Source organism: Homo sapiens, chromosome 8 (genome assembly GCF_000001405.40).
Source record: "Homo sapiens chromosome 8, GRCh38.p14 Primary Assembly".
In the NCBI taxonomy this organism is placed as follows: domain Eukaryota; kingdom Metazoa; phylum Chordata; class Mammalia; order Primates; family Hominidae; genus Homo; species Homo sapiens.
In genome coordinates this window covers 142430720-142444175 of record NC_000008.11, presented here as the reverse complement: position 1 = coordinate 142444175, position 13456 = coordinate 142430720, and the positions used below count along the sequence as shown (strand labels likewise).

The following is a 13456-nucleotide window of genomic DNA, read 5'->3' as shown; positions in this document are numbered from 1 at the left end:
CCTCTGTCCATGGAACTGCCTGTGATGGTGGCAGCATTCTGTGTCTGTGCCGTCCAGCATGGCCACCACTGGCCTTAGTGGCTACCAAGGGCATGAAGTGTGGCTTGTGGCCTGGGGAACTGAATTTTTAATTTGACTGACTGTAATCCATTTCCAGTGAGATAGCTACGTGTGGCTGGTGGCTACTGTATTGGAGAGTGGTCATCCCAGCCGGTCCGCCTCCACCCAGGTCCTGAGGCTTCCTCCAAGGTGGGGTTCCCAGGCAGGGGGTGTGTGACACTCGTCACTGGCTGGACTCCAGCAAGTGCACCTCCTGTGGCTCCAGGTCGTGCCACCCAGCACCCCTCCCCACACCAGGGACCCTGGGGGCACCTTGGAAGGAATGGCTGGGTGCTGGCCCCTCCCTGCTCCGGCTGTGAACTTCAGACCAGTGGCTCACTCCGCCTGCACCTTCTCTGTTTTGCCTGTAAAGAGGAGGCAGCAACAGGACCTACCTAGGTAGTCTGTCTCATGATTAAACGAGCACCTGTTGTCCTGGTCTGGACCGTGGTCCTCGCTCTGCAGCCGGGGCCGCCTGCCCTCCGTGTGCACTTCCCCACCCAGGCCCGCCCCCGGCTCTGGCTCTCCTGCCTGCACTCACTCAGCCCGGCCCTGCTTCCCTCCCTCTGGGTTGGCAGGCATGCTAGGCACAGGTGGAGGCTTGACCTCATACACCTGGTCCCCCTTCTGCTCCGCACCTTGAGCTCCCTACCCCCACCTGCCTCCAGTGCTGCAGAACTGCGATTTCCCAGGGATCCACTGTGCACTCCCTCATCCTAACCCCCCTACAGCCCTATGGGCCCACCTGGTACAACCCAACCCCGAGGGAAGCCTGTGCTAGCTGGCTGAGGGATGCCCCAGTCTCTGCTCCCCCGGAAGGGCAGGGATCCAGCGTCCCCACCAGACTCCAGCCTGTTCCAGCCCTCACCCCAGCACTCCTCCCTGCGCCTGCCCTTGGCCCTCCTGCTCCAGCCTCAGCCCAGGCACATTTGGAAAAGTCTTCTCCAGGGCCTTACTCAGAAGAGGTGGGAACTCATGGGACATTGTTGCCCCAAATCTCGGGACAGCTGCCTCCTCTCACAGATTAAGGAAGCCACTCAGGAGATGCAGGCCTGGAAAGGCTGAGGTCCCTGCAGCCCACGCAGGGTGTGTGTTTCCTGTGGGGGCCCCGGGGGATGGATGCCAGGGCAGGGCTTGCCTCTTGAGGGTTCCTGCAGGCTGGGACGGGGCAGAGGTAAGGCGGGGGTGGGTTGGGTTTAGTGGGAGCCAGCGTCCAGGCCTGCTTTGTACTCTGCCAAGCCCCGCCTGGGATGGTGGCTGCCCCACTGATGCTGGGCAGGGCCATTTCCCTGTGCTCTCTGGGAAAGGCGCAGAGAGTTGCAGGCACTGGCCAAGGCCATGAAGCAGGCAGGTCTTGGTCTTGGGCTCCCGGACCCGGCACAGGCAGCTGGGGAGGGAAGGAAGGAAAGGCATCTCCCCAGCACGTAGTGGGGGCACTCAAGGCCAAGCGTGCTGGGGACTTCCCTTGCCCTGTCCTCTCTGCCCCTGGAAAGTCTGCGAGGCCCAGGCCCACTCCGGGCAAGGACCCTTGGCTGTGGGGCAAGGTGATGCCCAGGTTCCTCCTGGCCCTGGCACTGACGCTGATCCCTCAGCCTTCTCCCAAGGCCAAGGCTGAGCTTATGTAACCCAAGTGGCCTGGCCCACTCCGCAGGTGCCCTTCTCTGCCAGCCCTGCCCTCTCTGGGAGAGGAGGAGGAGGCAGGGCTGGGGGTATTTTCGGGCTATTTTCAACCACTCATTTTCACAGCTCTCCTTGTGAGAACCAGGCATGATTGGCGGGTTTTCCTAACAACCTTGTGGGGACTGTGCAGAGATGCAGGTCAGGGAGAGGCGAGGTGGCACCAGCTGGGCAGCTGCTAGGGCTACAGGGCTCCTGAGGCAGGGTTCCCTTGGGGTCTTCAAGACCCCTTCAAATGGTAAACCTGGGTGTGCATTCTCCTGATGTTTCCTCAGCAGCTGTGCTGACCAAACTGACTTTGCTCCCTGTCTCCATCTGTCCTCATGGCCATTACCAGAAGTGGCCAGGCATGGTCCCATTCCATGGAAGAACCGTGGCTCAGAGGGGTCATGTGTCTTGCTCAAGGTCATGCATGACCAGGGACCAGGATTGACACCAACATTTGCACTCTGACCACAGCAGGGCCCGAGTTGTGGACTTGTTCTTGGAGGAGAGTCTTCAAGATTGACCGGGCAGAAAGGGAAGAAGAGGGGGAGTGTTGCCTGGGGAATGTAACCTCCTGGGCCAGGAACAGCACAAAACACTCCAGAGCCTGTTTCCAGTCCCCACAACATCCTGGCTGAGGCCTGACCCTGTTCCTAGAAACCTCTGATCTCTCATCACCATCTGAGCCCTGGTCCTGGGCACATATTGATCCTGATCCCTGATCACTGACTGAGCTCTGACTCTGGGCACATACTGGTCCTGATCCCTGATCACCGACTGAGCCCTGACTCTGGGCACATACTGGTCCTGATCCCTGATCCCAGACTGAGCCCTGATCCCTAATCACTGACTGAGCCCTGACTCTGGGCACATACTGGTCCCAATCCCTGATCACAGATTGGGCCCTGAGCCTCTGGATATGCTGGTCAAACCCTGAGGATGGGCATCAACTGCCACCATTCATCCAGTATTTATCATACCCCTCTTTTAGGCTTGGCACCCTGCCCACACCAGCCAATCCTTCACCCCATCCCCATAGCCCTTGCTCCAAAGCAGAGGCTGTGTGGACTTCAGGGCCTGTGCAGGCCACTGCCCCAGCTTCCCCTCCAGGCTCTCATCTGGACTTAGTGAGCCATAGGAATAGGGGATGCCAAGCCAGCTCTGGGAGCTCTCGGTGGAGGGAGATTAAGCGTTTAATAAACACTGCAGTGAAAATCAATGCAATCAGAGAGATCGAGGTGCCAACAGGAGTGGGGGCTGGAGGTGGGGCTCACCAGCTCTGCACTCTCACCTGCTCACACTCAGTGCATGTCAGGCTCCAAGTGGTATGGACAGCAAGTCAGGGCAGGCTATGTTCTCTTCCAACCCGAGCTGTCTCAGGCCCACCACTCAACAGCGTGCACTCCCCCACAAAACATCCTGTGCCACGCTCAGCACAGAGTCCCCGGGCATCCAAAGAAGGCCCTCGGCCCCTCTTGGGTATCCACACCCCAGGCCTTGATATCCAAGCCCCACCAGGGCTTCAGCGGTCACTGGGGGGGGGGTGACCGGTCTGGGTACCCCAGGACACAGCCCAGCCTGGGAGCTGGGTAGACAGAGGGCAGGAGGCACACAACCCTATGCCAGAGCATTTCAGAGGAAGGCCTCAGACCCACTGGGGGGCATGGAGTGACATTCTGGGGGTCCTCATAGCCCTGAAGCCTGAGAGTGACTCAGGGGAGGATGGAGCTGGGCCCGGGTCACATGACCAAAACCCCCACCCCTAATGCCCTGAGCCTCCAAGGCAGTCCCCGACCCTGCTGGGCTGTAGCCCTCTCTTCCCATCCACTGTGCCAGCAGGGCCTCAGCGGAGGTGGTCCCGTGTCCTCACTGGGTCCCCTCACTGTGTCAACAGTGGTGACACTTTGTGCCCCGTGTGTGTTGACAGCACCAACACCGGAGCCGTCATCTGTCCCTCTTACAGAAAGGAGAGCCGAGGCTGGCCCTCTCCAGCTGTAAGTGCCGGAGCCAGCTGGTGAACTCTGCACCCACCCCCATCTGACCCCTGCCTCCCCACCTGCCACAGAGGGGTTCACCGCCCCCATGCATACGTTCACTGGGGAGGTGGTGCCTGATGAGCCACCCGTGGTGTAAGACCCACAGCTAACCCGTGTGCTTTGCAGAACCCTGGAAGCCTGGAGGTAGAGACGAGGGCCCCATCATGGAGGAAGCTGAGGCTCTGGGCAGTGAGGTGACCTCCCTGAAGGTACATAGCCACAAGTGGAGAATCCTAGACATAAGCCCAAGTCCCCAAGACCTCGTGAGCCCTGGGCATCCCTGCACCCTCTTCGGAAGGTCAGGGAGGAAAGGCTTCAGCTCAGAGGCCTGGGGTGCTTTTTTCCCTTCCCAAGAAACTCAGAGGGAGGCAGTCTCAGGAGGAGCTCGGCTCCTCTATATCATGGGGCCCCTGGGGCTTCCATCTGTCCTCCCCCTTTCCTCAGGTGGGTGCCACTGTGGGGGCAAAATGGCTGCCAATCTCCGGGCATCACATCTTCCCACGGCCACCTCTAGAACAGGGAGGGAAGAAAGGAGGGAAAGATCTTCCCATGGCCACCTCTAGAACAGGGAGGGAAGAAAGGAGGCGAAGAGGCTTCCGCTTGCATGTCTCCCACTTCTTGGGGTGGCTGGGATGAGCGTTGGGCCAGCTAAGGGCAGGTGTGGGGACCCCACGAGAGGGGAGATTATGGGTGAATTGTGCCCCTCAAAGATGCATATGTTGAAGTCCCAACCCCTGTACCTAAGAACATGGCCCTATTTGGAAATAGAGTTGAGATGGGAAATAGAGTCACGCTGGAGTAGGGGAAGCCCCTAATGCAATGCGACCATCTTTTTTTTTTTTTTGAGACAGGGTCTCATTCTAGTACCCTGGCTGGAGTACAGTGGCGCAATCTTGGCTCACTGCAGCCTTGACCTCTTGGGCTCAAGCTGTTCTCCTGCCTCAGCCCCTCAAGCAGCTGGGATCACAGGCATGTGCCACCATGCCTGGCTGATTTTTTGTATTTTTTGTAGAGAGGGGGTTTCGCCATGTTGGCCAGGCTGGACTTAAACTCCTGGTCTCAAGCAATCTGCCTGCCTCAGCCTTCCAAAGGTCCAAGATTACAGGCCTGAGCCACTGCTCCCAGCCAACTGATGTCTTTATAAAAAGAACATCATGTGGAGAGACAGACACTCAGGGAGGCCACGTGGAGAGACACTCAGGGAGGCCACACAGAGTGACAGACACTCAGGGAAGCCACATAGAGACATGGACACTCAGGGAGGCCACGCAGAGAGACAGATGCTCAGGGAGGCCACACAGAGAGACAGATGCTCAGGGAGGCCTTGTGGAGACACAGACACTCAGAGACAGGTAACTCAGGGAGGCCATGTGGAGTGACAGACACTCAGTGAAGCCACGTGGAGAGACACTCAGGGAGGCCACACAGAGTGACAGACACTCAGGGAGGCCACATGGAGAGATATGTAATCAGGGGGCCATGTGGAGTGACAGACGCTTAGGGAGGCCACACAGAGAGACAGACCCTCAGGGAGGCCACACGGAGTGACAGACACTCAGGGAAGCCACATGGAGAGACAGATGCTCAGGGAGGCCACATGGAGACAGACACTCAGGGAGGCCATGTGGAGAGACAGACACTCAGAGACAGGTAACTCGGGGGCCACGTGGAGAGACAGACACTCAGGGAAGCCACGTGGACACATAGACACTCAGGGAGGCCATGTGGAGAGACAGATGCTCAGTGAGCCCTCATGAAAAGACAGACACTCAGGGAGGCCACGTGGAGACACAGACAGTCGGAGACAGGTAACTCAGGGAGGCCACGTGGAGACAGACACTCAGGGAGGCCACGTGGAGATGGAGGCAGAGGCTATAATGATGCATCTGAAGCCATAGATCACAGAAGATTGCCAGCAACCTCCAGAAGTGAGAAGACAGGGAACACATCCTTCCCCAGAGCCTCCAGAAGGAGCCAACTCTGCTGACACCTGGGTCTTGGGCTCAGTGCTGCCAGAGGAATGGGGATGAATTTCTGAGCTTGCTACTCAGCCACAGCAGCTCTAGGAAAGCAAGGCAGGGAACAGGTCTCCCCCTACCCAGTCTCTCTCTTGCATCTCATTGGTCAGAAAAGGATCACATGTTCCAAGCTGACCAATCACGGGAAACGAAACAGGGTTGCTTCTCTGGTCCAGATCAATCGTGGTTCATCCCCTGGATGCGGGGGCGGGGGGGTCTCTGCTGGAAGAGTCAGCCAGGTTCAGGGGGCAATGGCATGCAGACAACTCCCAAAGACCACCCACATGCCAGGAGACCAGGGCACCCTGAAACCCTTTTCTCTAGGGGACAAGAAGTTGCTTGTCAGAAGGGCAGGAGTTGTCCAGGGTTTGGGTAGCTGGAAATGTGGCAGATTGGGCTTTTCAGAAATGAATGCAATGATAGCACCCATGATGCTGACACTACTCCACCCGGGGCGGGGTCTGCCTCTCCTTCCCATGAATCTGGGTGGTCTTGGGACTGCCTGACTGGAGGTGAGGCTGCCTGGCCTAGGTTCTTTAGCTCCCACCTGGTCGCTAGAGGACTCACTTTTGGAGTCCAGAGCTGCCATGTAAAAACTCAACTTTATTAAAATTAAAAACTGCTCTGCAAAAGACAGTGTTGAGAGAATCAAGAGAGAAGCCACAAGCTGGGAGAAAACATTTGCAAAAGACACACCCAATAAAAGACATAATGGAAACATCCGAAGAATCCTTACAACTAAACAATAAGAAAACAAACAACCCAATTTAAAAATGGGCAGAAGATCTGAAAAGACACCTCACCAAAGATACAAGATAGCACATAAGCGCAAGAAAAAACATTCAATAGCATATGTCATTAGGGAAATGCAAATTAAAACCACAATGAGATACCATGACACACCTATTCAGATGGCCAAAACCTGGAACAGCAACAACACCAAATGCCGGCGAGGATGTGGAGCATCAGGAACTCTCGCTCATTGCTGGTGGGAGTGCACACTGAGCCAGCCACTGGGGAAGACAGTTTGGCAGTCTTTTACAAAACTAAACGCGCTCTTACCTTATAATCTGGCAATCATGCTCCTTGCAATTTACCCAAATGAATTGAAAAGCGAGGTCCACAGGAAACCCTCCACGTGGATGTTCATAGCAGACTTATTCATGGCTGCCGAAACTTGGAAGCAATCAGCACGCCTGTCAATAGGTGAGTGGATGAGCGAACTGTGATACATCCACATAAGGGAATATTAACTGCTAAAAAAAAGAGCTATCAAGCCATGAAAACACATGGAGGCATCTTCAATGCATATGACTAAGTGAAAGAAGCCGCTCTGAAAAGGCTATGTACCGCGTGACTCCAACTCTACGACGTTCCGGAAAATGGAAGACTATGGTGACAGTAAACACATCAGTGGTCGCTGGGGTAGTGGGAAGGGAGGGGTGAATGGGCAGAGCGCAGGGGTTTTTAAAGCAGTGAAGCTCCTCTGGGTGCTGGTATAAAGGTAGATACGTGTCACACACATTGGTCAAAACCCGTAGAATGTGCAATACCCCGAATGAAGCCTGATGTGAACTGTGGACTTTAGTGATCATGTTGTATTATTGGCTCGTCAATTGTAACAAATGAAGCACACTAATACAAGCTGTAAAAAATGGGGGAAACTGGGTGGGGAGAGGGAGAGAGTATCGTATTTTCAGATCAACAATAAGCCTAACACTGCTCTAAAATGTAGTCTATTGAAACAAAGTGCTGCCCAGAGCTCACCATGTGTTGAGGAAGCCCAGGCCACTTGGAGAGACCACACTGGTCACTAGCCACAGCTGGTCACTAGCCGTACTGGTCACTAGCCGCAGCTGAGGCCCCGGAGACAAGCCGTCCCCCCAGGCCTGTTGGAAGTCCTGACCCACAAACTCCACAGACACCGCAACCCCGTGTTCTCAGGCTGGAGGTCACGGGCTGACTTGCTGCAAGGCAGCACTAGCTGGCGAAGAGGCCTCGGGCGAAAGGGGAGCAGGAGGAGGGTGGGGCTGCCTTGGAAGGTGTGGGTGCCTGGCTGGGGAGTGCAGCCTTTATCCTAGGCCTGGGAGCCCCCAAAGGGCTTGAAGTAGAGAAGTGGATGGTCAGATCCACAATCCGACAGACCACTAAGCAGTGAGACCCTCTAAGAGGCAGGTGCTGGGCAGGGGTGGGCCATGGGCATCTTTGGGGTGCTTGGGACAGGGGTCTGGGCAGGGGTAGGAGTTGAGGAGGCATCAGGGTGGGGGCATGAAGTCACCCTGAGAGACTGTGTGCCCAGGAAGGTGGAGGAGAGGAGGTGACACCACTTTGACCCCCTCTGTCTCCTGGACACAGGCCACTCTTGTTTTCCAGTGCCCCTGTGCTTAGATGACTGGTCCCAGCTGATGGAGTGTGGGGCCATGAAGGCTGAGCTTGCAGAAAATTCCCAACCTGCTCCATGCACCCCCTGCTGCCTGGGGGCTGGTGGGGTCACAGATGAGGAGCCTGGATCCTGGTTGTTGTGGGGTAGAGACTATCCTGCCACCGCAACGACCCTGATGAGCAACAGAAAACATCTATGCAGTTTAAGCTGTTGCATATCTGCCGTGTTATTGCTACAGCAGCCCTGGCCTGCCTGCTCCAACTCACACAGAAGATTGGGGACGAAAGAAAGGCCTGGGGTATTTCTGGAGCAGGCAGTGAGAGGAATGCATGTGCAAGAGTGCACATGTGAGTGTGTGTGTGAAAGTGCATGTGTGAGTGTGTGAATGTACATGTGTGTGCAAGAGTGTGTGCATGTGACTGTGAGTGCACGTCTGTGCATGATAGTGCGTGTGTGTGAGTGTACACGTGTGTGCAAGTGACTGAGCACACGTGTGTGCACGATAGTGCATGTGTGTGCGAGTGTACACATGTGTGCAAGTGTGTGTGCATGTGACTGTGAGTGCACATCTGTGCATAATAGTGCATGTGTGTGAGTGTACACGTGTGCAAGAGTGTGCATGTGACTGTGAGTGCATGTGTGTGCATGATTAGTGCATGTGTGTGCGAGTGTACACATGTGTGCAAGAGTGTGTGCATGTGACTGTGAGTGCACATGTGAGTGTGTGAAAATGCATATGTGTGTGCGAGTGTACGTGTGTGCAAGCGTGTGTGCATGACTGTGAGTGCACGTCTGTGCATGATGGTGCATGTGTGAGTGTACACGTGTGTGCAAGTGGCTGAGCGCACGTGTGTGCATGATAGTGCGTGTTTGTGCGAGTGTACACGTGTGTGCGAGTGTACACGTGTGTGCCAGAGTGTGTGCATGTGACTGAGTGCATGTGTGTGCATGACAGTGCATGTGTGTGTGAAAGTGCATGTGTGTGCGAGAGTGCACGTGTACGAGCATGCACATTGTGTGAATACACATGTGAGCATGTGTTGGTGCACGTGTGTGTGAATGGATGTGTGAGTGTGTATGAGTGCACTGTGTGTGCATGATGGTGCATATGTGAGCGTGTGTGAATACACATGTGAGTGTGAGTGGATGTGTAAGGACGTGAGTGCACTGTGTGCCTGATAGTGCATGTGTGAGCACGTGTGTACGTGTGAGTGTGTGTGAGCACGTGTATGAGTGTACGTGTGTGAATGCACATATGTATGTGAGTGGATGTGTGAGCATGAGTGTGAGTGCACGTGTGTGTGAGAGTGGGAGTGTAAGCATACATGTAAGTGCACTGTGAGGATGGGTGCACGGGACTGCATGTACCCAAGCATTACTCTGCCTCAGTAGCCCAAGGGAGGGTCCCTGAGCCCTCCTGCATGCCCCGCCCACCCAGCACCAGCAGAAACTTGGCTCTAACATCCTATTAGAACAGGGACCTCAGTGGCCCTGCAGGTGGCCTCAACACAACCAGCTTCTTCGAATGCAGATTAATTTTTTTTTTTAAAAAAAGGAAGATGAACACGGGATTTGACACAGATTCCATCACAGATGACTTCATGGATGGGCGCCTTCTGCACACAGACTGACATTTGGGGCTGTCCGAGGCACTGTGGTAGCTCCTGGCTGCCTGATGGGTGGACGTCTCTGGCCCAGGTTCCCCACGCACAGGCAGAAGGTGGGTTCCCCCAGCTGGCCACAGCTGTCACTACAGCAACCAGGAGCCTTTACGTGGGGTCCAGGTGACGTGGGGGTCAGCTTCAGGCTCTTGGCTTTTGTGCCAGCCCCAGCAGAGAGGGCCCTGGAGATGGGCACAGGGCCTGGGCTTGGACTCTGGAACCCTGTCTCCCCGAGAGGGATGTGCACACCAAACCCTGCCCCACCTGAAGGCACAGAACAGCCAGGGTGCAGCAGGACTGTTAAATCCCTTCTCGGAAGCCCCAGAGGACCCTCTCACCCATCACTCTGTGGATGAGCCCCAGGAGGCAGCCTGGTCACCCACATGCCCCTGGGAGGGATCCTCAGTCTGTGAGGGGCAGAGCGCGCTGGAGGGCTCCCAGGAGCCGTGACATGTGGGCGTGAGCCAGCCATTGTCTGCCCCAGACTCCTGTGGGTTCCAGGAAAAGCGGGTCAACTCTTCAGGGCTGTGAAGGGGCCGCTGGCCTCCTCACCTCCAGTGCACCTTGCCCCAGGCTATCTTTCCTAAGGGCTGCTGTGACCTGCCACTCCAGGGCTTCAGAGCCTTCGGTGGCTTTCTTTTCCTCCCATGAAGCCCAAGCCCCTCCCCACTCATGAGGCCTGTCCTGGTCTACCTGGCTGCCAGCCCCCCTCCCTCATCCCCGAACCCTGCTGGTCACCACCCCTGCCAGGCTCTCTCTTGTCCTCTTAGTCCTTGTTCTGCTGAGCCCTTTGTCCAGGACGCCCTCTCCCTTTGGGCTGCCTGGACCACATTGTGCTAGGGAGAAACCTCCGTTTCCCCGAGGTGAGGGCAACCCCTGCCTCAGTGTCCTCACGTCACTCTCCATATTGACAGTCTGTGGCCTGGACCCGTGGGATGGGACCATGATGGGGAGACCCTAGTGGGGGGATCATCTCCTCTTGTGTCTCTCCTCAAAACCAGAGTTCCCACCATAGGAGGAGAGTGCGTCCAGAGCCTGCAAGAGTGCCCAGGAAGAGCTGGATGAAGGGAAGGAGGAGAGAGGATGGGGAGTGAGTGGCTGGGAGCTGTTGGGGAGGAGGGAGTCAGAGGCTGATGGGGGAGACAATGAGGGAGGCTTGGGCCTCTGTAAAGACACAGTTGATACTCTGCAAAACAGAGACAGGGCAGCAGCATTGGCCAGTTGAGTTCAATCAGGTACTGATTTGTCAACGCCTTTTCCCTCCTCCTCTGACTTCCCCAACTCAGTCCCTCCCCATGTTCAAAGCCAGCGGCAGGGCAGCCCACCCTAAAGAACCAGGCTGGGATCTTCCAAAGGAACACAGGGAATTTGCATGTTCATTTGCATATTGTTTGCATTCCAGTCAAAGGTGGAATCAATCTTCCAGCTCCTGGGGTCCGTTCCTGGAACTGTTGCCCTCCCAAAACCTGACAAATGTGTGGTTGCTGGGAGGAGGGCTGGGGAGGGGGTCACTACTGGGAATGGGCTTCACACGGTGATCATAACGCGTAACATTTGCTCAGCACTTTACAAGGCACACACACCTTCAAATACTTCAAATTATCTCACTCTCAAACATTGAAAAGCAGAGAGGTTAGCAAGCATAATTCCCCTCTTAAAGGTAGGGAAACTGAGGCTCCAAAATAGCAAGCTGATGCAAAAGATCACACGGCAAGCAAGTAACCTGACAAACTTTCTCCTGTTCTTCCATACCAAACTGCCCAGTAGCCTTTGTCATTTCACCATCTGCCCTCAACTGGGTTTACACAGTCCTCTGCTCATAGCCTAATTGGGAAGATGGTGGTGGTGATGGTGATGGTGGTGGTGATGGTGATATTGGTGGTGGTGATAGTAATGGTAGTGATAGTGACAGTGGTGGTGGTGGTGATGGGAGCGATGGTGATGGTGGTGGTGATGATGGCTGTGATGATGTTGATGGTGATAGTGATGGTGGTGGTGATGATGGGGAAAATGATGGTGGTGGTGCTGGTAGTGATGGTAGTGGAGATAGTAATGGTGGTAGTTGTGATGATGGTGATAGTGATGATAATGGTGCGATGGTGATGATGATGGTGGTGGTCATAGTGAAGGTGGTAATAATGGTGTTGGCACTAATGGCGAAGGTGGTGGTGGTGGTGGTGGTGGTGCTTCAGGGGATGGTAATGATGATAGTAATTGTAATGGTGTTGAAGCAAACGGGCCTGTAGGGTCTGGATGGCCCATGGAGCCAGGAACCAGAATCCTCATGGCTCTCTCCTAAGATGTCTTCAGAGCCTGGCAACTGGCTCGCTCAGTGCTTATGCCATTCTTCCTGTGGTCAACCCACCATGTTTTTCAGTCTGAAGCTCTGGGAGGGTGGGGGAGTCCTGGCCCTTCTGAGCTCTCCCTGCATCCTATTCAGCCCCCTCTCCTAGGCAGCACCTTCTGGTGTGCAGTCTCTCTCCCAGCAGAATGCGGTGGCATGGCCTGCGTATTTGGATTTTTGTATCTATCCCAGTCCCAGCTCACGGCTGGGCCCAGGGCTGCTTGACTCAGCTACTATTTGATGAGTGGGTGTATGAATGGGTCAAGACATAGGGGTGATAGTCAGACAAGGTGGAGCAGCTCCTTATACCTCAAGACTCCACCATCACCCCACAGCCCTCATCCCACTCCTCCACAGCACATGACCCAGCGCTAGCTACCTCCTCCTGCTCCCCTTCTGTCCTCAACTGGAGCTAGGCCCAGGAAGCTGACAGCTCTGTGGGGCCCTCAGGGTCTCTGTCCCCCAGAGGGTCTCAGCCCAAGGTGTGCATGGGTGCACAAGCATAGGTGCACATACACACAAACACATGAAAACACAGACACCAAATGCAAACATATTCACAATCATATATGCACACAAACTGGCACACAAGGCCCTGGATCACATGGCCAGGCAAGGCAGATCCAGCCTGCGGGGATTTTCTCCTGATCCCATGATCCTGCTCACCCCAATGCACCTACATGGCCTCGAATGCCAGGCAAGCCTCTGCAGGGACCCCAAAGGATGTCACCCAGCCGTAGCTTGTGTACTTCCAAGGAGGGAGCTGTGGCTGCCCGGTACCCGTTCCTGAGAATCAGCCAGCTGAGTCTTTCCTGGTGGTGGGCAGAGGGGCAGAGCTGCATGGAGAGGAAAGGTGGGACCCGTGCTCCCTCCTGCAGGGCTTCCACGTGGAGAGACGAGAGCCTTGGGAACCAGCATCCTGGGATGTTTGCAGGGATTCCAAGAATAGTCCACTCCCAGCTCTACCAATGGACGGGCAAGGAGCCCATGACACCCCATTAGTCCCTCTCCACTTTAGGGTAATTTGTACCCCTGCAAGCAAGGCTCCAGGAGCTATCAGCATTTTACACCTCCGTGGTACTTAGTTACTGGGTATCTTTCTTCTTTTAAACATTTCTGTAATATTTCCACTACACTGAAGTGTATGGGGACAACATAACTGGCAGCCATCCCAGTACCCAGCTCCAATGCCTCTTAGCATCTGCCATGTTTGCCTCTGATCTCTTCTGGTTTAGGGGAACAAAACCAAACGC

At 55.4% G+C, this 13456-nt stretch overlaps 1 annotated feature.

Moving 5' to 3' along the window:
• Positions 9868-10368: an enhancer, noted in NCBI's record as "H3K4me1 hESC enhancer chr8:143515169-143515669 (GRCh37/hg19 assembly coordinates)". NCBI's record gives its function as "activates a minimal SCP1, AML or CMV promoter by ChIP-STARR-seq in primed H9 embryonic stem cells {active_cell/tissue: H9 hESC(primed)}" and the evidence as "EXISTENCE:reporter gene assay evidence [ECO:0000049][PMID:30033119]".